The sequence below is a fragment of the Homo sapiens genome, chromosome 2 (assembly GCF_000001405.40).
Source record: "Homo sapiens chromosome 2, GRCh38.p14 Primary Assembly".
Lineage (NCBI taxonomy): Eukaryota > Metazoa > Chordata > Mammalia > Primates > Hominidae > Homo > Homo sapiens.
In genome coordinates, this window is record NC_000002.12 from 75,068,000 (window position 1) to 75,092,833 (window position 24,834).

At 41.4% G+C, this 24,834-nt stretch overlaps 1 protein-coding gene and 1 non-coding gene across 3 annotated transcripts in view, besides 1 other annotated feature; one reads left to right on the forward strand and one right to left on the reverse strand.

Moving 5' to 3' along the window:
- The window catches only part of TACR1 (tachykinin receptor 1), a 153,058-nt gene that overhangs the window by 21,537 nt on the left and 106,687 nt on the right, over positions 1-24,834 (reverse strand). The gene's annotated exons all lie outside the window — the stretch shown is intronic.
- Positions 22,813-22,915, forward strand: MIR5000 (microRNA 5000). The gene has a single exon (NR_049796.1). It is a non-coding gene; the product is annotated as a microRNA 5000 (primary transcript).
- Positions 24,546-24,750: a silencer, noted in NCBI's record as "fragment chr2:75319672-75319876 (GRCh37/hg19 assembly coordinates)". NCBI's record gives its function as "represses an EF-1alpha promoter that drives an FKBP-Casp9 reporter gene in an ReSE screen in K562 erythroleukemia cells {active_cell/tissue: K562}" and the evidence as "EXISTENCE:reporter gene assay evidence [ECO:0000049][PMID:32094911]".

Below are 24,834 nucleotides of genomic sequence, written 5' to 3' on the forward strand. Positions count from 1 at the left end.
TTTCATCTGGGCAAGATATAATGAAGACTGGGACTGGAAGGGTGTATCAGTCAGGGTTCTCTGCAGAAACAGAGCCAATAGGAGATATCTATGTCTATGTCTCTAAGTAGCTATTTATCTATCTATTGAGATTTATTTATTTTAAGAACTTGGCTTACACAACTGTGGGGGTTGGCAAGTTTAACATTTGCAAGGCAGGCTGGTAGGCTGGGAACTCAGGTAAGAGTTGATGTGGTCTTGAGGCAGAATTCCTTTCTTTCTAGAAAATCTCAGCATTTGCCCTTAAAGCCTTCAACTGATTGCATGAGGGTCCCTCACATCATGGAGGGTAAGCTGCCTTAGTTAAAGCCAACTCTTTGTAAATGTTAATCGCGTTTACAGATACCTTCACAGCAACATATGGACTAGGGTTTACCAAGTAGCCTTGCCCAGGTGACACGCAAAATTAACCATCATAAGGGCACAGCTGGATGGAAAGAGCTGGGAAAACCCAGGGCATGATTTGGAAGCATTCTAGTAACAATAATAATAACTACCACTACTACCACCATAAACATATTAATAGCTGACACTGATACAGTGTTTCCTATATGCCAGGCTCTCTTTTAAATTCTTTACATATATAACCTCATTCAGTTCTCCCAACAGCAATCTCTGTGTTACAGATAGTAAAACTTAGGTACAAACATTGCAGAGTGCTTACAGACTTCCCTTAGCATAACTCGGGACACCACTCACAGAGACTATTGGGTAAATAGCACCCCCTTGAGTTGTGCAATCCACTTGACCCTGAGAGACAGTTTAAGTAACTGGCCCAAGAATTCTCCATTGTAGAGATTAGTGTTGTCCAGGATGGAAAGAATTATAAAACTGTATGGGAAGGAATGCCATCAGTATGGCATACATACTTTTTAAAATTATATGTACATGATACTGTTTGGCTGTGTCCCCACCCAAATCTCATTTTGAATTGTAGCTCCCATAATTCCCACTTGTCATGGAGGGTACCTGGTGGAAGGTAATTGAATCATGGGGGTGAGTCTTTCCTGTGCTGTTCTCGTGAAAGTGAATAAGTCTCACGAGATGTGATGGTTTTATAAGAGGGGGTTCCCCTGCACCAGCTCTCTTGTCTGCCACCATGTAAGATGTGACTTTGCCACTCCTTTGCCTTCCGCCATGATTGTGAGGACTTCCCAGCCATGTGGAACTGTAAGTCCATTAAACATCTTTCATCTATAAATTACGCAGTCTTGGGTATGTCTTTATTAGCAGTGTGAGAACAGACTAATACAGTATATACATATATATGTATATGTATATCTATATCTATATATGTATATATTTATTTATTAATATAGTGAGTTTTAAAAAATGACAATTTTATTTTAGAATAATTTAGATTTACAGAAAAGTTGCAAAGATAAAACAGAGTTTCACAGTGGCTATTCCACAGCCAGTGCCCCCTTTTACTAACATGTTATTAGTGTAGTACATTTGTCACAATTTATGAACTAATATTGGCATAGTATTAACTGAAAGTCCACACTTTACTGAGATATCCTTAGTTTTTCTCTAATTGTTTTTCTGCTCCAAGATCTCACATTAAGTTTACTTGCCATGTCTCCTTAAACCCCTTTGGGCTGTGACAGTTTCTCAGACTTTCCTTGTTTTTGATAACATTGACTGTTTTGAGGAGTATTGGTCAGATATTTTGTGGACAGTCCCTTATCTGGAATTTGTCTGATGTTTTTCTCATGATTAGAATGGGGTTATGGCTTTTTGGGAGGAAGTGCCATTCTTATCACATCATATCAAGGGTACATGCTATTATTATTATTTATCACTGTTGCTTGATCTCCAGGCTGAGACAGCATTGTCAGGTTTCTCCACTGTGAAGACACTCTTTTTTCTTTCTTTCCATACTCTAATCTTTGGAAGCAAGACACCATGTGCTGCCCACATTCACAGGATGAGGAGTCATGCTCCTCCCTTGAAGACAGATATCTGTATGAAATTTTTGGAATTATCCTGTGTGGGAGGTTTGTCTATTCTATCTCATTTATTATTTATTCATTCATTCCTTTATATCAGTATGGACTCATGAAATTTATTATATATTTGGCATTATAATTCAATATTATGTCATTTATTTTGCTCTAATTGCTTCAACTTTGGACATTAGAAGCCCATTCAATTGACCTACCCCCAACATTGTATGTATGTGTGTGTGTGTATGTGTGTGTGTGTGTGTGTATGTGTGTGTGTGTGTGTTTTGAGCACTTCTTTTCTGGAAATACAAGGTACTTCAGGCTCATGTAAGTGCACTGCTTCTGTCATAGAATCAGCCATTACTCTAAGGAGCCCTGGTTCCTTTTATTGGAGAATAAAAACCACCATCTAGATGCTGGGTGGTACAGAGCCTTGTTAACTTTTCTAAATGAAATCATGTTGATTATGCCATTTCTTCCCACATGTATCCTTCAGAGTGAGTAAAATTATCCTATTTTACATAAGAAGAAACTAAGGAAATGGCCTCCAAAGGTCACACAGCAGACCTCGAACCAGACCCTAAGCCTCATGGCAACAAGCCTCAAGTTTCTTCTAGCCACGCTTTTATTTTCTGCATTGTTTCTCCTGTGTGTCTCTGGGTAAATTTCATGGGTTCAAGAATTTTTACTCATTTAATTCTCATAACAACCAGAGAAGACATGTACTGCTATATCCTTAGCTCTACTTTGCAGGTAAGGAAGCTGAGATACAGACAGGTAAGCAGGCTATGCATAGCCATGCATCTGGTGAGTGGCAGAGGTCAGACATGGACCCAGACCCTCCAATTCCATGGGCTCCATGTCCTAGTCCTCTATGGCAGGGGCCGCAAACTATGGCCCCAGTTCAAAGCAAGTCGCCATCTGTTTTTATATGGCTTGCAAATTAAGAATGGTTTTTATATTTTTAAATGACCAGGGAAAAAAAAACAAAGAAGAATATTGTTTTATGGCATGTAAAAATTACAAAATTCAAGTGTCAATATCTGTAAATAAAATGTCCTTGGAACACAGTCATGCCCGTTCACACTAAGTATTGTCTGTGGCTGTTTTCGTGCTCTGGTGGCTGAGTGGAGTAGCTGTGGAAGAGACTGTAGGACCTGCCAAGCATCAAATATCTACTACTTGGCCTCTTAGAAAAATGTGTTGATCCCTGCTGTAAGGGAAAAATCTAAAGTCATCCTCTTAAAACTGTAAAGGGAAGGGGCTGAATTACAATCATTATAGAGGAAAGCAGCCTAGGCTGGGCCCAACTCTTGCCAATGCTGTGCCTTCACTGGCCTTATTTAGGCTATTGGGATGCCCTCCCTTCTCTGGCACCAATCCAAATCTTATCCTTCTTCAAGGTCCATCTTGTGCTGCTGGGAGATTCTCTGAACCAGTATGGTCTTCCTAATCCCTTCCCGCTCTCATATCCCAGAGTATTCAACATCGACTTACATTTTCATTAACTGATGCCTTGTGCAGTTCTTCATTTCGTGCACATTAGCTTTACTTCCAAGTGCTCTGCAGGCTCCTATAAACCAGAGACCTCACATATCTTTCTTCTCCACTCCCTATGTTATCAACCACAGATTAAGTTTTCTAAAACCCTGCTCTGATCATTGATACAAATGACCTTCCTGTCCAGGCTTCCAATTGCCTATGAAATTAAGCACAAACTCCTTAGCACGACAGTTAAAACTCTCCATAATGTAATTCCCAACCTTAATTCTTACTACTTAGTGCCCAGATTAATGCTTGGCATAGAGTGCCTGCTCCATCAATGCTCCCTCCTGCTCTCCCTCTCTTTGCTATCTCTCATGCCCTTGCCAAACTGGAAGAGAGAACTGAGAACAAACCACTGGGTTTGACAATTATCAGGTCACTCATGAGCAATTTCAGTGTCGGGATGGAGACAAAAGCCAGATAGCAGGAACTGAAGGAGTACGTACGTCATGAAAAAAATAACTGCAGCAAGCGTAGCATAGATGTTTGTTTGTGCTAAGGAGGGACTGGAGGAGTGGCAGCCAGGAGGCCAGTGTTTAGTCTAGGGGGAGCACAGAGTGGATTTGTGGGTGAAAGACAAGGAGTCAATGGCACCGTGAAGTAGGAGTTAGTTAGGGTCAGCTCAGGAGGAGCAGGAACAGGGATCCAGGGCACAGAGGGAGAGAAGGGAAGGAAAGAAAGAAAGGATCCAGTTTCTGTCTTCTCAGTGAGTCTGATGTGAGTCGTCTGCCAGGTCAAGGATGCAGGACGGGATTAGCGATCTGAGACCAGCCACAAGAAGGCAGCTGATGGCATCAGTAAGAGAAGTGCTGAAAGATCGCCAAGTATCATAATCAATATGGCCACAACTAGCCTGGTTTCCCGTCTTTTGCTGGCATTCCTTGGAGACCCAGATGTGAGAGGGAAGAAAATATAAGGAAAATATAGGGCAGAAAAGTTGAGGTTGGGGATCGTCCATGAGAGCATGAAAAGCCCAACTCTAACCCTAACCCTAACCCTAAGCCTAACCCAAACTGGGCATTGGCATTGGCCAGATTAGTAGGGTCGCAGATCACAATCAGATATGGCACCTGGAGGGTTCTTTGGTTGATTCCAGGGCTTCCTGGCATCAGACTCTGATAGCCTGAAGGGCATGTGCACTCCACTCCACAGTGAGGATCTGAGTGTCAGGAGGATGGATATGCTTGCCCTGAGGGCACCCAGCTCTGCTGCCTTGCACAGCGCCTGGCACACATCTGGTGTCCTGGAGGTGACTTAGGAGGATGAGACCAACTTCAGGACTTTTTTCCTCAAATCTTCAAGGTCTATGGTTCCAAGTTTTCTGCGTTTTATGGAAAATGTTTAAACAAAATTTGAGGATTGATGTAGATTTTTTTCAGTCTCTTATTCTGCCAGATAAAAACATTAAAAAACTAAGCTGAGCTAAACTAAACTAAACTAGACTAAACAACTATTGTCATCATCACCACATTCATTAAATACTATCTCAACACCAGAAAACAAATAATCTCAGCAAAAAAGTCAGATTTTTAAATATAGAAACCTCTCTATATAAGAGGAAAACCTCACTACTCACAGGAATAGGGACCCGGTGTTTGGAAACCCCTGAGAATCTATAGTCACCTTCCAGAAGAGCTACAGCACAGCTGACTTCATTTCCACCTACTCACAATCACCCTGATTGGAGCTTTAGGTGTTCCTAAACCCAGCAGTCTAATTTTTACAGAGAAGCTCCATTTTAAAGACAGCTCCCACATCTTTTGTGTGTGGACACTCTCAGTGGAATTCTCACACAGTCACTTTATTTCTAAGAGGAGAAGAATGGAGTAGTAGGTGGTGACTACCTGGTGACCAGGGCTTAGAGCCAACTTCTTTGGACTGACATCCCCCTTCAAGGGAGTAAGTGTGTGTGGCAAGGGGACCATACATGAGGTTGGAATTGGCTGGTAAGGTAAGGAAAGGCAGCAACTGGTTTGAGCCCTGTAACTAAGTGGCACCAAGGCCAAAGAGGGAAAGAAAACAAGAGGGAATAAAGGAAGAGAAGGTGAAGGTCAGGATTTCCTTGGCTGGTGTCAGGTGTCGGGTGGGCACCCACTGAGGCTGGTCTGGCAGGAGGGGGCAGTGGGTCTGGGGGGAGGTGGGAGCTGACAGGAGGCTCCTCTGTCTGGAGACCAGGCACAGAGAAGAAAATCCTCCTGCCATTTGCCGGGAAACTCACTCACTCTTCTGGCCTGTGATGAGGCCCTGGGCAGATTCTCCTTCCTATAGCCTCACATAGGAATGCCACTTCTCACCAGAAGGGCTGTTTCTGCTGGATAGGGTGAGGCATTACTTTTAGACATTTACAGAATATGTTCTCCTCAGCACAGCTGTGAGGCCCTTTCCTACTCAAGGGCTGTGAACCTGAAGGCAACTCCTCAACCCCTGAAATAGAACTGTGGTGGTACCTACCCCTCTCATTCTGTGCATTGCCCAAATCAAAAATGTATCTTGATATTATATAGTATGGTTATGCCTGAGATAAAGCATACATACCAGAATTTATGTTTCTACTTATTTTTAAAAAATACTTGTTATGTAATACTATTTACGAAATGGAAATGAAAAATCAAAATATTTTCACAAGCGGGGCAAGCTGTAACCTGTGCTCCTGGATGCCAGCTCTACTCACCAGGAGCATCAAGCTCATTAGCAGGGTGAGAAACTGAGGCAAGTGGCAAGTGTTGGCTGTGTAGTTGTGACTTGTTGCAAAGGAGAGAAATTGACAACAGGGATTCCTGTCACTTTAATTCCCTGAAACTTCAGCCTCTAGCAAGAGCTCTGTTAAACCTGCTTTTAGACATAGGCATCTATCTGGAGCCCCTGGGTCTTGTAGGGAATGCAGAGCTCAGATTTCATGTCCGTATAACATGGCCCTACAGCATGTGGCTCATTCTCCCAGGAAGATTGGCCCTAGAGCTTGTTGTGTCAGCTTTGAAATGTCTTGTTAAGATGTCACATTTCCCCAGACTGGGGAAATAGAAACTTTAAGAAGAGCAGCTAGTGAGGAATACACTATAATAAAAAGTAATATGACCCAGATTTTTCTTTTAAAGTGAGAAAACTCTTTCACTCACCTTAGCCATTAAGGAATGGCCCCTGAAGGCAGGGATTTTTTTTTTCTTCCAGGCAAGAAGGTGGCTTCAGATCATAGTCTATAGGCTGCCTTCTGCCATGGAGAAGGCAGTTGTGTTTGGGTTGTGTGTGTGCATGAGGATTAGGCTCTGTGCATGGAATAAAGCATTTTAGTACTAACAGGGTCAGGGAACATCTATGTGTGTAGCGTGGGTTGGTAACCAGCTGGTCTTGATTTACCTGGGGTTTTCCCAGTTTCAAAACTAAAAGCCCCACATCTAGGGAAACCCCTCAGTTCCAGGAAAACCAGGATGGTTGGTCACTTTAGATGTGGAAGCACTGAGAACCTGCTGTCATTTTCCCTCACTGGCATGTGACAGGGCTTATCATCCACTATTTAAGATCTATTCTTTTGAGTCCAGGAATTGTCCCATGTTAAAATGCAGGCAGCTTTAAGAAGAGTGACCCATTAAACCATTAAAGCTGAGAAGCGGCATTCTACACAGCTGATTATTCCCTCCTGCTTAACTGTCTCTTTCCTCAGGGATATACAGATTAAGACCACAATAGGATAGCATTTTACATTTACTAGCTAGGGAAGAAATAAAAAGTCTGACAATACCAGGTGTTGGTATGGACATGCTACAACAGGAACTCTTATTTACTGCTGGTGGGTGTGTAAATTCGTGCACCTACTTTGGAAAACAATTATCTTACAAAGTTGAACATGTGCAAACCCAAATGAATTTCACTTTAAAACATATGTCGGAGAGAAGCTCTTGTACTTGGGCCTCAGGAATCATATGAAGAGAGGGATTCTATGACCTAATAATGCTTTAGTTCACAAGATGGGTGTTAGGATTACTTGTTTCAAATTATTATTATGTCCCATACTTACATATATGCTATATACATTCATTTGTAAAAATAAAAATATATGATAACTATTTTAGGAAAATAAGGCAGAATAAATCAAAATATGTCAATGTTCACAATAAATGTAAAAACTAAATTCATCAGTTAAAGGACAGGGATGATAAGAATGTGTTTAAACAGCAACAATAACAACAAGAACAAATTCAGCTAATTGCTGTTTGTTAGAGACATATGTGAAATGTAAAGACTCAGATTAAAAGTAAAAGGACAGAAGAAGATATTTTAAGCTAGAAGTAAATATGTTAACATCAGACAAATGACGTTAAAGCAAAAATAGGAATATATAATCTTAATGTCCAACATTAGGAATTCATAGTTTTTACAAAATCACCATAAAGCTATAACTTGTTTGAATCTACATAACATGTCTTCAGTGTGTATAAAGCAAATCCCAACAGAATTAATAGAAGAATTGGACAAATTCACAACCATAGTGGGAGATTTAAACACAGCATATGAATGGCAGGTTTGTGCTTTGATCTGCCTTTGCTGCTTATTCTGTCCTTTCTTATTTTCTACTGGACTTTAAGCAAGTCTCTTCCTTCTGTTAGACCTTAGTTTCTTGCACCTGAAAAGAGGGAATTGGACCAGATGGGTGAGGACTCCATGAAATAACCATACTCCCATGCCAGTCAGTGCCTGGAAAAAGCCTTGTCACATGATGGATGCTTCTGAGACCAGTGGCAGCTGGCGCTGTTTACTCAGCATGTCCCAGGAGAATCCATCACCTGTTGTCTTTCCTGAAAACGCCACTCTCAAATCCCCCTTACTGATTGCAGGCAGCTTTGCACACACAGAAGCTTATAAACCTTTTTGTCAGCTCAAGGGCCAACAGAGTGAAAACTCATAGACCCAGCTTCTTGGAGCTACATGTTTGGTTTGTCTCTCAGAGTCAATTAGGAGGTGAGAGAGGAAGTCAGTATAGACTGATTCCACTGGCGGGCTGACACTAACAGGACATGCATGCTTGGAAACATGGAAGGGGCCATCTGTGAAAGCTTGGAGTACAGCTTCCCTAAATGGTAATTTCAAACGCAGCATAAAAAGATGAACTGGGAAATGCTAGTTTGGTAACATGGAGCCCGAGACCAGGAGTCAGGAGCCTGGTGCTGGTTTTCTGGACCTGACAATCACTGGGGCAACGTTAGCCAAGGTGCTGCTTGTCTCTACATCTCTTCCTCATTTCTGAAGTGATGGGATTGTGTTCTAACTTCTGAGGCCTTCGCATCTTCGGTAAGGCCTGAGAACTCTAAGTTTTGGTAGGATATCTCTTTTGTTAATTGACTTTTTTATTCAGTAGGAAGGGGGAAGTGAGCTAAAATTTACCAGGTGCCTACTAGCTTCCGCTTTACACAGGTAATTTCATGTAATTTTCACCACACATCTATTATTATTATTATCATTTGAGACAGAGTTTCGCTCTTGTTGCCCAGGCTGGAGTGCAATGGCTCGATCTTGGCTCACCGTAACTTCTGCCTTCTGGGTTCAAGCGAATCTCCTGCTTCAGCCTCCTGAGTAGCTTGGATTACAGGCATGTGCCACCATGCCTGGCTAATTTTGTATTTTTAGTAGAGATGGGGTTTCTCCATGTTGGTCAGGCTGGTCTCGAATTCCTGACCTCAGGTGACCCACCCACCTTGGCCTCCCAAAGTGCTGGGATTACAGGCGTGAGCCACCGCACCCGGCCTATTATTTTAATTTTACTGATGAGAACAGAGGTTCAGAGAGAGAATACTTTGGACAGTGGTGATTTGAACTCAGGTCTTTTAAAACTAAGGACTGCACTGTTTGTACTATAACCACCTTCTCCAGTGGGTAGGACACCTCCAGTAAGAAGTTAGATGGACCTACTGTGAATTTTCATTCCTGTAAGGTAGACTCTTCCAGAAGAAGCTGAGAGGAGAGGTTGTTGGTAAAATCCACAAGTATCTGATAATTGATGTGGGAACAACACAATACACAAACATCCTGGTAAATGATGCTTAGCAGGCTATCCTGAGGCAGAAGCCTGCAGGTAACAGGTCAGTGTCTGCATTCATTAATTCCTGTGTCCATTTATTGAATTTTTTTGGTGTTTACTGTGGATCAGGCCTGAGATGCTGGGGTAACAGTGATGAACAACACAGACCAGCCCTCCTGTCTTGTACTTCAAATCTACTGAGAATTTAGGGGCATCCTTGGGAGTATGGAGCTGTACCCATCCCCAGATAAGAGGTATAAGGGAAGGCCCCCAGGAACATAACCCATTAATGATCTTTTCCTCTTTCCTTTCTCCTCCAATTTCCCAATTTTAGTCAGTCCAAGCTCTGTGTTCATCTCATTTTCTTCCCATAATCAAACTTAAATCAGTGAGCTCAAGTTGGAAAGCTCATTCATATCTATTGCATTACCTCTTCTGGAGAATCTGCATTTTAACCTAGGACTCCTGAGATTGAATTAACCACTTCTCTACTGGCGTAACTGCTATTACTGCAGCAGGACGGTGTTTCAAATCAAGAGTGAGGGGGTGTTCCCCAGATCACCGAGGTAGGTCTCTACTACCATCATGGAGGTCTAGAACAGTGGCACAGAGCTTACCTGAAAGAGCTGTGAAGTGTGACGATTTTGACTACAATACTTAGCTGAATTATGAGCCTAGTTCAGTGCCCCCATTCAGATTCTATTTGGGCTCTTGTCTCTTTTGAACTTGGAGTTTTGCATGTTTTTTTTTTTTAAGTTGCATGACCTTGAGTGATTTCTAAACTCTCTGAATCTCAACTTATGTATCTGTAGAGAAGAGATTATAGCCCTCCTCACAGGAGGTTGTGAGGATCAAATGAGATGATTCATTTAAAGAGCCTAGCACAGTACCTGCCTCATGGTAGGAGCTAGATAAAAACTTAAAATTATTTAAAATAATAAGAGTTTAATTTCTATTAGTCTCTACCTTGTCTCTATTTTATTATTTTTTTCTTTGTATTAAGATACTCTTCTTCTAGCCAATATATCCAATGGCATCTTTGTTTGCTCTCCCATGTTCCACCTGAACCTACTCCAGTCACATCATTTGTGCCATTTCCAACATCATGGGGGTAGAACAAACACGAAACTGTGCCCTTGTAGGAGTGTATTCAGGGAAACCAAGAATTTTCTTTGCATCAGAAGAGCAAATAGTAATTCTAAGTGGTTTTCAAACGATGGATATTCCAGGTTTATTTATTCCTTTTCTGATAATCATTCTGTATGCAAAATGCTGAGCACCATGATCCATCTTTTGTAGGTTCTGGGTGAAGAGAGCTTTCGTTGCTTTAGACCCCCTTTTCCTACTCACTCTCCATCTAGTCACAAATCCTGAAGAGTCTCAGTATTTTAAGGGAAAAATATGACAAAATATTCTCAAGTTCAGGTAAAGTAAACATACACTCTGGCAAACACATCGAAACATCAAAATCCTGTCTGTGCTTGAGGTCCTACCAGTGCTGGGGAGCTCACCACCTCACCAGGCAGCCTATACCATTAATTTCCAGGAGTAATTATTCCTGAAGTTGCCTTTATATAGAAGCCACATGATATACCTTCACATCCCTTCCATTCATTTGTCCTAATTTTGCTCTCTGGAGCAACCCAAAGTAAGTCCCATGCCTCTTCCATGTGACAGCTTTTCACTCTCTCTTTCATATACTTCCCTTCCTGTCCAACACATGGCCGCTGCTGTAGGGTTGCTATCATTTTGAATGAGCTACTATAATAAGTTTCCTGAGCATGTCTCTCTGTGTGTAGTCTTTCTCCCTTCCAACCCATCTTCCCCATTCGTGCCAGATTTCTATTCCCCAAACCCAGTTACTTTCTACTGGTTAAAGTGTTAAATTTGGCACTTGGGCCAGTGCTGCTGCCTGTGGTGTCCTCCCTGCTGTCCACTGGTAGCCCCACCATGCCCAGTCTGTCTTTCTTGATTTCCCTCCTAATGTAACCCTACACCAGTGGTACCCAGTGCTATCTCCAGGCACCATGGACAATTTGTTGCCAAAAATACCTTGTGATTTTCTGCCTCCTTGATTTCACTTGTTCCATATTTATTCTTTCTCTTGAAGGTTCCCCCACTTCACCCTCTGTGTTCAAACTGGATTCATTTACATCTCAGGAAAAGTCCAAACTGTGCATCTAAACCTAATGCCTTTTTTTTTTTTTTTTTTTTTGGTCTCACTCTGGAATGAGTCATTTCCATTCATCCTCTGAGAGATTGCTCTGCAGGGGGTTAAACCAGTCGTAACAATGTTCTGGAGTATTGATCCCATGTTGGTCTTTGGAGTTATCTGGGGAAGAAAGAAAGACTGCAGGTGGAGAAACCACCATACTGCCTCAGCAGCTGTGTCACTCTGGGCAGGTTGCTGCATCACAAGGTACAGAGAAGTTTGGCAGAAACTAATTTTGAAATAATTAAGTTGTTCTGTCCACAGATCATAGCACTAGAAGCAGTTACCCTCCAATCTTGCAAAAGGTTATTATATATCTATTACTTATACTTCGAGATAGTAAGATTGAGATAAGGTTAATTGTTACTGAAATTAGAAATCTAAATGCAACTAGAACTTTCTAATTAAGTTGGTGTAAATATTTAAAAGAGTATAATGCACATTTCAAAGGGGTGAATGCTAAACGTCCCTTTGAAATGTGCTGAGGAAGAGAAATGCAGTGCTCAGTCACTCCGTCCTGGAAAAAGGTTGGCTCTTCAAGAGGCAGAACTCACACAAAGCACATGCATGACAACACACATGCACACACACATGCAGGCATACACACACAACCATCATCTCTTCACTTGAGCATCTATCGCCATTGGTATGCTCAAAAATAGCTATTTATCTGGATTTTTTATTCCCACAATCACTGTCCCATTGGGTCAGTTATAGTTAGATTTTATAGTCTTCCTAGATCAGAACTTTGGAAACATATTGAATTGCCCATTATATAAGAGCATTATTAACTGGCTTAGGAACCTGATGTCTAGAGCCATCACTTGGTTTAGGGGGAAATCACCTAACTACAGAGGACAGAAGATCAGAGCCTTCATTCAAGCTCTTCTATTCACCAATCTCATGAGCTTAAATAAGTCTTTTATCCTTTCCTATTTCCAGGCAGGGTTAGCAGATCCATTGCCTACTTCCCAGGCCTGTTGTGAGGATATATAGAAATAACTGGTGTGAAAATACTTAGGAAAGTTAAAAAATGCACCCAAATATTATTGTTGTTGATGTAATTATTACTCAGTTATTACCCTATTAGCTGATAGATTAGCACATACAAAAGAAATACTTCTTAAACCATCTCCACCTGGGATGGGGATAATTGGAAGGAAGGAAGCCGTGGGTAGAAATTAGATAAGGAAATAGAAAAGACAGAATGAGAATGGATGAATGAGTCAGGAAGAGTGAGGGAAGGATTATTTTTACAAAACCAACTGGGAAATTGCTATAATTCCAGGCCCTATGGCAGACTGCTCGAGAGAAAAATGGGCATGCCAATCAATGCATCAGCCTCTCAATTCACCACACCAGAGGTGCTAGGAGGAATACAAAAGAAGAGCCAGGCCTGCCCTGGGGGAAATCACTTTGAATATAGAAACACGATGTAAATTAGTAAACAAAACAAGACTGTATAATAATTAACAAAAAATTGTATAACGGGCGTGTATTAGTGCTGCCAGGCCTACCTTTATATGAAGGCAAGAGGGGTTCCTGTCCTTGGTCCTGTGATACAGGGGTCCCACGAAGGCTCTTCCATGACCAGCCCACCACCATATGGTGAAAAATCTGCAGGACCAAGAACCCTCTACCCTCATTATGCTGTTAGACAGGGGATGCTGAAATTCCCTGGAGCCTCTTCTAGGGCCTGTGTGAGCCTCTTCCATTGGATTAGTCTCTCCAAGGGTGGACCATCCTGCTCTTTTTGCCTTAGGGGTAGCCAAAGGGTGAAAATAACCTGGATGTAGAGATTGGGGTGTCACATGTATAAGACCCCTCTAGGTTGGGGGCAGAGTCAGGGAGGGGTGGAAAAGAAAGTGGGCCAGGATGAGAGCTATGGGCTGCATTGTCCTGCAAGGGCAAGTTTCCACAAATAATTCCAAGGAGTCCAGGGGTTCAAATCTGGCCTCCAGGTCCACATTAATGCATGTTTTTCAAGGTAAGGGATAGAGATTTTAATTCATCATTTATTAGCATGACCTATAACTTAAATATTTAGAGATGATATGCAGACTCTGCTCTTGTTTCTGACTTGCAAATGTTAGTTATAGGTCTGAGTGCTACAGTAGCTTGTAGAAGGGAGAAACCAACATTTCTTTTTTTTTTTTTTAAATATATATATGTATTTTTTATTATACTTTAAATTCTAGGGTACATGTGCACAACATGCAGGTTTGTTACATATGTATACATGTGCTATGTTGGTGTGCTGCACCCATTAACTCGTCATTTACATTAGGTATATCTCCTAATGTTATCCCTCCCCACTCCCCGCACCCCACAACAGGCTCTGGGGTATGATGTTTCCCTTCCTGTGTCCAAGTGTTCTCATTGTTCAATTCCCATCTATGAGTGAGAACATGCAGTGTTTGGTTTTTTGTCCTTGTGATAGTTTGCTGAGAGTGATGGTTTCCAGCTTCCTCCATGTCCCTACAAAGGACATGAACTCATCCTTTTTTATGGCTGCATAGTATTCCATGGTGTATATGTGCCACATTTTCTTAATCCAGTCTATCATTTATGGACATTTGGGTTGGTTGGTTCCAAGTCTTTGCTATTGTGAGTAGTGCCACAATAAACATACGTGTGCATGTGTCTTTATAGCAGCATGATTTATATTCCTTTGGGTATATACCCAGTAATGGGATGGCTGGGTCAAATGGTATTTCCAGTTCTAGATCCCTGAGGAATCGCCACACTGTCTTCCACAATGGTTGAACTAGTTTACAGTCCCACCAACAGTGTAAAAGTGTTCCTATTTCTCCACATCCTCTCCAGCACCTGTTGTCTCCTGACTTTTTAATGATTGCCATTCTAACTGGTGTGAGATGATATCTCATTGTGGTTTTGATTTGCATTTCTCTGATGGCCAGTGATGGTGAGCATTTTTTCATGTGTCTTTTGGCTGCATAAATGTCTTCTTTTGAGAAGTGTCTTTTCATATCCTTCATGCACTTTTTGATGGGGTTGTTTGTTTTTTTCTTGTAAATTTGTTTGAGTTCATTGTAGATTCTGGATATTAGCCCTTTGTCAGATGAGTAGATTGCAAAAATTTTCTCCCATTCTGTAGGTTGCCTATTCACTCTGATGGTAGTTTCTTTTGCTGTGCAGAAGCTCTTTAGTTTAATTAGATCCCATTTGTCAATTTTGGCTTTTGTTGCCATTGCTTTTGGTGTTTTAGTCATGAAGTCCTTGCCCATGCCTATGTCCTGAATGGTATTGCCTAGGTTTTCTTCTAGGGTTTTTATGGTTTTAGGTCTAACATTTAAGTCTTTAATCCATCGTGAATTAATTTTTGTATAAGGTGTAAGGAAGGGATCCGGTTTCAGTTTTCTACATATGGCTAGCTAGTTTTCCCAGCACCATTTGTTAAATAGGGAATCCTTTTCCCATTTCTTGTTTTTGTCAGGTTTGTCAAAGATCAGATGGTTGTAGATGTGTGGTATTATTTCTGAGGGCTGTGTTCTGTTCCATTGATCTATATCTCTGTTTTGGTACCAGTACCATGCTGTTTTGGTTACTGTAGCCTTGTAGTATAGTTTGAAGTCAGGTAGCGTGATGCCTCCAGCTTTGTTCTTTTGGCTTAGGATTGACTTGGCAATGTGGGCTCTTTTTTGGTTCCATATGAACTTTAGAGTAGTTTTTTCCAATTCTGTGAAGAAAGTCATTGGTAGCTTGATGGGAATGGCATTGAATCTATAAATTACCTTGGGCAGTATGGCCATTTTCGTGATATTGATTCTTCCTATCCATGAGCATGGAATGTTCTTCCATTTGTTTGTATCCTCTTTTATTTCCTTGAGCAGTGGTTTGTAGTTCTCCTTGAAGAGGTCCTTCACTTCCCTTGTAAGTTGGATTCCTAGGTATTTTATTCTCTTTGAAGCAATTGTGAATGGGAATTCACTCATGATTTGGCTCTCTGTTTGTCTGTTATTGGTGTATAAGAATGCTTGTGATTTTTGCACATTGATTTTGCATCCTGAGACTTTGCTGAAGTTGCTTATCAGCTTAAGGAGATTTTGGGCTGAGACCATGGGGTTTTCTAGATATACAATCATGTCATCTGCAAACAGGGACAATTTGACTTCCTCTTTTCCTAATTGAATACCCTTTATTTCTTTCTCCTGCCTGATTGCCCTGGCCAGAACTTCCAACACTATGTTGAATAGGAGTGGTGAGAGAGGGCATCCCTGTCTTGTGCCAGTTTTCAAAGGGAATGCTTCCAGTTTTTGCCCATTCAGTATGCTATTGGCTGTGGGTTTGTCATAAATAGCTCTTATTATTTTGAGATATGTCCCATCAATACCTAATTTATTGAGAGTTTTTAGCATGAAGGGCTGTTGAATTTTGTTGAAGGCCTTTTCTGCATCTATTGAGATAATCATGTGGTTTTTGTCATTGGTTCTGTTTATATGCTGGATTACATTTATTGATTTGCATCTATTGAACCAGCCTTGCATCCCAGGGATGAAGCCCACTTGATCGTGGTGGATAAGCTTTTTGATGTGCTGCTGGATTCGGTTTGCCAGTATTTTATTGAGGATTTTCGCATCAATGTTCATCAGGGATATTGGTCTAAAATTCTCTTTTTTGGTTGTGTCTCTTCCAGGCTTTGGTATCAGGATGATGTTGGCCTCATAAAATGAGTTAGGGAGGATTCCCTCTTTTTCTATTGTTTGGAATAGTTTCAGAAGGAATGGTACCAGCTCCTCCTTGTACCTCTGGTAGAATTCGGCTGTGAGTCCGTCTGGTCCTGGACTTTTTTTGGTTGGTAAGCTATTAATTATTGCCTTAATTTCAGAGCCTGTTATTGGTCTATTCAGAGATTCAACTTCTTCCTGGTTTAGTCTTGGGAGGGTGTATGTGTCGAGGAATTTATCCATTTCTTCTAGATTTTCTAGTTTATTTGTGTAGAGGTGTTTATAGTATTCTCTGATGGTAGTTTGTATTTCTGTGGGATTGGTGGTGATATCCCCTTTATCATTTTTTAATTAGTCTATTTGATTCTTCTCTCTTTTCTTTTTTATTAGTCTTGCTAGTGGTCTATCAGTTTTGTCAATCTTTTCAGAAAATTAGCTCCTGGATTCATTGATTATTTGAAGATTTTTTTATGTCTCTATCTCCTTCAGTTCCGCTCTGATCTTAGTTATTTCTTGCCTTCTGCTAGCTTTTGAATGTGTTTGCTCTTGCTTCTCTAGTTCTTTTAATTGTGATGTTATGGTGTCAATTTTAGATCTTTCCTGCTTTCTCTTGTGGGCATTTAGTGCTATAAATTTCCCTCTACACACTGCTTTAAATGTGTCCCAGAGATTCTGGTATGTTGTGTCTTTGTTCTCGTTGGGAGAAACCAACATTTCTTAAGCCGATGCATCACCTTGGGCAGTTGCTGCATCACAAGGTCCAAAGAAGTTTGCCTGTCAGAAGCTGATTTTATCCCCCTTACTCCAACCAATCAACACCCCCAATTTTCCAGCCCCTTACCCTCCATGATCTCCTAAAAAACCCAGCCCAGAACTCCTTGGGGAGATAAATTTGAGGATCTTCTCCCATCTCCTCACTTGGTGTCCTGCAATCATTTCTCTTTCTCTGCCACTTCTGTCTCAGTGGAATTGGTCTGTTACTGCGCAATGGGCATATAAACCCATTGGTCCTAGCGCAATCGCACTGGAGGAAGTAGTTACTCTCCAATCTTGCAAAAGATTGTTGCATGTTTATTACTTATACTTCAGAATATTAAGATTGGGAGAAAGTTAATTCTTACTGAAATTAACGGCAAATATCATGGAGGATTTGAGGAGGTGGGATCTGACTTTTGCCTTGAGCTAGCTGTTGGGTTGGGAAGGAATTCCAAGGCATGTGAATGACTGAGCAATGTCTGGGAGATAATGAGGGTAATAACGGTGACCTGGCTGGAGTCAGTCACTTTTGATTCCTTCCAGTCCCAACCACTCTCCCTACTCTTCCCTGGGGTTAAATTCCCACCCTTTTTTCATATCTTATTGAAGCTCTACTCACTTGTTAGAACATTTTCAGATTTCCTCATTCCATAAACTCATTCTCTTTCTCTGATCCCCTCTGGAATTCTTTATGTACACCACTAGTATGCACCAGTATTTTTAGAGAAGCTATTGTATGTGACACCGTAGATTAGTTGGCACTACCCAGTATAGAATTTAATTATGAAAGTAATAGTTTCTGGAGTATTAGTTTCATGTTCTTAGAAGTTCCCAGAGATCAAGAGCTCTTCAGTTAAACCCAAAGTGACTATGAAACTGGGCTGTAACAAGGTCATCTTAACAGTTCTGTGTTGTTTGGGTTGAGGAGAGAGAAAATGGAAGAGGAGGAACAATTATTGGTCTCCTCAAACTTTTCCAGGAAAGTTGCTTCTCACAGCAGAGGAACTGGGAATGTGTATCCTCTGGGGAGACTGAGAGCATAGCCCTAGGCTATGCATGTCAAGTCTAGACATTTATATAAAATCTCTTGTTTTATCTAAAAACTTCATGCAGATTTTATATTCTAGTCCATGATATGTTTTTGCATGTCTTAAAACAGAATTTTAAATTACTTATCACTGAGATAAGACAACTGTCTTGTAAGATTTATCATGCCTGTTTTATAAAGTGCAAATTATTCTCAGGTCCAAGTGCAGTACTTGGCACACAGTGGACACTCAATAAATATTTACTGACTGACTGACTGACTGAATGAATGAACCAGGTTGGGGAGTCTCATACACCCAGTCCATTGTACTATATCTCCAAGAGGAAGCAAGCCTGATTTTGTGAAATGGGGGATTATGATGCTATTTCAATGGTCCATATGTGAGGAAAAGGGCCTGGTCAAGGTTTTGGCAGTGTAGGGGAAGGATGGATATGAGAGACACTTCAAAGGAATAATAAAAGGGACTAAATTATTGCAAATGGAATCCAAAAATAAGGATGATAATCGGAAATGGGGAAGTTTCAAAAGAGAGAGAATGTTTAATTCAACTTTGGCCTCTGAGTTTGTGATGACAGTGTCAGATTCAGGTACTCTTAGGTCATATTTCCTAGCAGTGGGGATTTTGAGAGTCATTGTCAATGTGACAATGACTTTCACCTTTCAATAAAATGTGAAATCTTCAATCTGGTAAGAGAAATCATCACTGTTTAGACCCATCTTGCCCAATATGGTAGCCACATGTGGCCAATGAGCCTTGAAATGTGGCTGGTCCAATTGACCTGTGCTGTAAGTTTAAAATACACATTGAATTTTGAAGACAAGTACACACCCACACTCACACCTATACCCAAAGAATAGAAAATATGTCATTCATACTTTTTATATGGGTAACATGTTGAAATGATACTACTATGGATATATAGGTTCAACAATATATACTCTTAAAATTTGTTTCACTCATTTGTACGTTAAGAAATGTGGCTACTAGAAAATTAAAAATTCCACTTGCATCTTGCATTTGTAGTTTGCATGTTATTTATATTGACAGTGCTGGTCTAGAATGTTGAAGTAAGATGACCTGGTAACAGATCCAGTAGAAGATATCCCAGTAGTTCTTCCCCAAAGACTACCAGTGATAAACTTCTGCAAACCTCCCTTTGCAAAAAGTGCTTTTCTCTCTGGAGTGTTTGGAAGACACCATTAATAGATGGTTGCAAACAACAATCATCATTCACCATGCACATTTGACAGAACTTACTATTAAGAAAGGCTGTAGAAGTGTAAACTTGAAACTAATTAAAACCCTTGCCTAAGGAAGCCCCACCAACCCAAGCAACTTTAAGCAGAAATCTGTGATTAAACGCCGTGTTGTGCTAGTTAACATTTCCCCAGCTGTATCTCCACATTGTCAGTGACTCCCCTCACCTCTTGCCATTTGAAACAGTAAATAATTGGGTTTCTGTTCACTTCCTTGCCTTCTTAATCACTTTTCCCCTGCTGAAGTCCAGTCATTTAGACATAACTGGTCTATCCCCTTGGAAAATTTGAAATGTTTTTGATATTGAGACTTAAACATCTGTCACAGCTGTAGCAGGTTCAGGAGTCTCATTGCCTCTTTGCTGTTAGTGGTATTTGGCAAAGTGCTACATAGCATTACATAAAGAACTACTCACTGATGATGAACTCAGCCTCCAGTGGCAGGCATGAAGGGATTGTTTTTGGAATCCTTCTAAGGAAAGCTCTCCTTTGTGGTGGAATGAACTTCCCTCATCTGTAGTCCCCCCATGTCTCGGTCCTCATTTCTCTAGCTGACGTCTACCTTGCAGCTGGATCTTGTTAGCTGAAAACTACAACCTATTTCTTTTGAGTTAAAGACTCAAACCATCCATGTAGCCAGTGATGCTTTGCCTGACCTGCTCCTGCTCCTTCTGTGGCCGCACTCAGCCCACTCTCCTCTGCACCCTGCTCCAGCCACATTGGCTAGCCCTGGCTCTTGTCCTTGATCAGGTCCTGCTGTCCACCCTTATGTCCTGGCCCTGCAGTGCTCTTTGCCTGGAATACACCCTCCTTCCTTCCCTCTCCACGCAGCTAACTCCTCAAAGCTTAGCTCCTGAAATCTCCAGCCTTTTTATTTGCTGTCATGAGGGCCTGAACTTTTCTATCAAAGTGCTTATCACAGCTAATGATATATAGTCAACATGGTTATATAATTATATAAAGTATGTGCTTACTACTTGGTTTTAAGTAGCTAGAGGGATAATGTTTGTTTTGTTCACTGTTGTATCCCAGGGTTAGAGACTCAATAAATATTCACTGAATGAGTGTATAAATGTGTTTGTTATGTTCCTCCTGCAGACTGCTGGAGGCTTCCTGCAGGTGCTGTCTGCATGGCAGGGGGCATTTCTCTGTCCTCTCCTCCTTCTAGCAGGTGGAGGAGACCCCTGTGCTTTAGACCACAATCACCATGTGTGGGGTGATGGGGGTTTAGGCGGATCGGTGACAAGGAAGGGGGATGGTATCCCCTTCGCCCCTGAATCTTGAATCATTCTTCCCTTCTTTATTCCCGTGGCTTGGGTTGATTCTCCTCACTCCCTGCAATTTCCTTCTCTCTAATTTCACATCTTCTCCCTCTTCCCCACAGCTCATCTGCTTTAGCTGCGTGTGGTTGTCTTCCTTCCCTTTCCACATGCTGCCCCCACCCTCCTGTGAGTTTGACAGTTTCCCACAGAGAGCATCAAGCTCTCTTGGGATGCATGTAGGCACTTTTCCATCTGATTATAGTGGTTTCTAGTTTTAACGCACCCTAACTGAATCACACAGGTTCAATTAACTTCACCATATGTGCTGCCCTTTGGCCTAGAACACAGGGCTGCAAGGCAGGTACAGAGCTCTAAATTAGTCCACTGGTAGAGAATTCTTCATCTCCTGGAGATCATAGCTGTCATGACCTTATATAGTAGGTACAGAATGACTTGCCTTTTGCATAAATGAGAACTTTCTTTCATTGGTAAAATCTTCTAGCTCTCCCTTCAAAGATATACCAAGAAGAATAGCACTTCTCACCACCTCCACTGGCAGCCCCTGCCCTCACCTCCTCCAGGACTCTGCTCAAACTTGATCTGATAAATGTGTGGACCTAATGTCTTTCTCTTAACTTTTCATTGGACTCCTCCTGGGTTTTACTCTGAAAACAGAAAGACAAACCATTGAGATTACGTTAAACATGAGCGGGTTAAGAGCACCCTTTCGGGAGTCATCACTCTTGCTTGAAAGTATCTGATGACTTAAAAGAGACCTTAGAGACTAAGGCAATGGTTTCAAACTTTAAAAAAATAAGTGGAGCCCTTTCATTAAGTGAAATCATATGTAGAAGACTTTACTTCTGCATGTTTTAGAGAAATGAGATGTTTGGCCATGTGGACACATTGCTGAGTCACATGGTGCGCTGGTGGCAGAGGCTGTCAGTACCTTAGGTGAGAGGTGAGGAAAGTGAGGCTGAGAGAGTTTAAATTCTTAATGTAGACACTGGGAGCAGTGAAGGGGAATCTGGGCTTGAAGGTCTTGGCTTTGTCACCACTACCACCCCATGTCCTCTCAACCCAGCCAAACCATAGTACATTACAAAGGTTTTACAAATCTCAAACAAACAAATTTCTGGAAAGCACCACCTAGACTAAAATAAATGCACCAGCAGCTCATTACCATCTTAATCTTCATCAAAATCATCATCATCACCATTCAACTAATTGCCTGTATTTCATTGTTTTGCCAATAAGAAGAGTGTTAGGACTTACCACATACATTTGCTAAAACAAATATACTCCCCACCTCCTTCAAGTCTGCTCAAAGGTCACTTCTCAATGACATGACCATCTTGCTGGGGTGTGCAGTTCCCTGCTGTGCCCTCCCCTGAATGTCCATCCTCCTATCCTGTTCTGCTTTTTCTTTTCTTTCCATAGCACTTTTCACTTTCTAACATATGATATAATTTACTTTGTAAACCAAAAATAAAATTCTAAGGCCCCCCAACCATCTAAACAGACTTCCTCCTCAGCCAGGGCTCTTAAAATTTAATCTGAAAGACTGGTTCAGGCCATGAAGGGAAGTGGGGTCGAACAGGCCTCATCATACCTGTATGGGGCATTAACATCAACACGGACTTTAAACATTTCACAGCCTGTTCTCTCTGAAGCCTGCTAGCTAAAAGCTTCACCTGCATGACAAAACTTTGGTCTCCACAACCTCTTATTGCACCAAACATTCCTTTCTATTGATCCCAAGTCTTTAGACAAACTCAACCAATTGTCAAGCAAAAAATGTTTAAATTTACCTATAGCCTGGAAACTGTAGGTAAGAAACTAAGTGCAAGTTTCTCACATAATGAGCAACAAATGTCAGCTAGTAGTTGTTATCCCATCCCCAATCACCACTCTTTTAATCTGTATGCTCTCTTACACCTTTTGAGAATTAGGACAAAAATTTCTCAAGGAAGAGTGGTGACCGTTCCCCATCAGACCCATAGTGTCACCAAGAATGTATCCCTTATGATCCCAAAGTCATCCTCTCTGAAGAGTAGAGTGTGTGGTCCCAGTTCAGAAGTGTTCCTGAGTAACTTGTGCTTATAACTCAGGACACTTCTGAACTTGGACCATACAGGTCTCCCTGCTTCTGTTATCTCTCAGACTGGTCTGTTCTTAGTCACACTGTGGAAACGGGGCCACCTAGCTAAGCTTCCAGCACTTCTCACCTTATCTGAAAAGGCAGCCACTCTCTGTCCATTAGCATTCTACTCTTCCTTCAAGTTCTAATCAAGATATAACCTTCATTCTTGGCTCGGTTTGCATCAATTCTACCTCCTTCTGATTGCTCATGGAGTAAATTTTTTATCTCACACATTATAGTGCTTCACAGAACTCCTTCCTGCAGTCCTCAATTTCTTATGGGCTCGTAGGTGCAAAAAAAAAAAAAAAAAAAAAAAAATCTCCCCTGAATTTCCGCTCCTAACTCTACCATAACTCATGGTGAACTCGGGAAATTACTCAACCATTCTGGATCTCCTTTACTCCATTTTATAGATAAGGAGTTGAATTGGGTGATGTTCAAGACCTCCTCAGATTTCACATTCTAGGAGATTACAGGCAGTTTAACAGCATGGTTCATGACCAATAATAACATGACATTTCTCATTCACAAGGGCCTGGTAGACCCTTCAACTTTGTCAGTTCCAATCTTTTCCATAATCCTATAAGGGAGGTACTATAATACCCATTTTAAAGATGAGAAAAACTAACGTTCATAACTGTTATAAAACCCAACTTGCTTAAGTGAGTCTGTTATTGCAACAGGGCTGGGATTCTACCCTGAGTCACAGCCTGTGTTCCTTTCTCCTTTCTGATCTGTCCTGTGTCTTCTACTTTTTCATATCACTCTTAGCCATGACTGACAGACCTAGGCACAACAAATGACCTGACGTGAACTCTAGAAGTGGGTTCCAAAACTTAAGAAGAGGGATTCACTCACATTCTCTTGGTTGGCTCTGTGACTTATCTGCTGTATGGGCAGTGCCGTGCACTCTTGGGGCTCCTTGATGCTGGAAGTTGGGCAAAAGGAAGCCCACATGGGGAAGAAGCAGTTCTTCCCCTCACTAATGTACGGCTGTGGACAGGTTATGTAAGTTCTGTAAGCCTCAGTTTACAAACAGTCTTCATCTATTAAATAAGGACAACGATATCTATCTCCAAAGATTGTGAGGAGAACTTTATATGAGGAAATGGGCATAACATCAGTGTGAGGTGTTTGTTTTTGTTTCAAACAAATCTGAATGCAGAACTCAGCATGCTATTTAGTTCTCTCAAAAGCACATACACACACTAGTGAGCAGCAGAGGGTGATGATCTTGTAGGGTGACGTAAGAGAGGGTTTATATCACATACACTGTAGCAAACAACTTAATATTCACATTCTGAGTTGCCTTTCCTCACACGGTGCTAAGCCTCACTGGTTCCTACCTCCCATCCCTCCCCCAATTTTAAAAACCTCCCTGCTTGATTATGCAGAATGCAACACCACCAGCTTTAATTTCCAAACTCATGACCCTTAATGCATTGTGGTGCTCAGAAAACCAAGTCCCTGCCAGTTAATAGGACTTACTCTCTTTGGGCAGTCTTTGGGGTTAAAAAAAAAGATTTTATTTCCTTGTACATTATCATCATCATTTTCATCAACAAAAACTTTACCTGGTAACTTAGAAGAATGATTCAGAGAGATGCTAGAAAATGGGAAATGGGGACATTGTAGCACAATTTTCAAGAGATTCATAGATGGATCAGGAAAATCTAGCACTGGATAAAGTAGCTCTGGAATGAGCCTCCTATGGTCAGAATAACTGAACCGACTGTGTCCAGCCACCAAAGCTCACCTGTCACTCTACACTGGTTGAGTGTAGACTGGAGACTCAGAGCCCCACTGGATTCTCACAGCTACTCCATCTGTGAAAGCTCCTGGGAGAGGGGTAAGGCGGCCTCCAAAGACCACTTGGAATTGCCTCACCCAGAAGATCAGAACCCTACTTTCTGGGCAGATACATG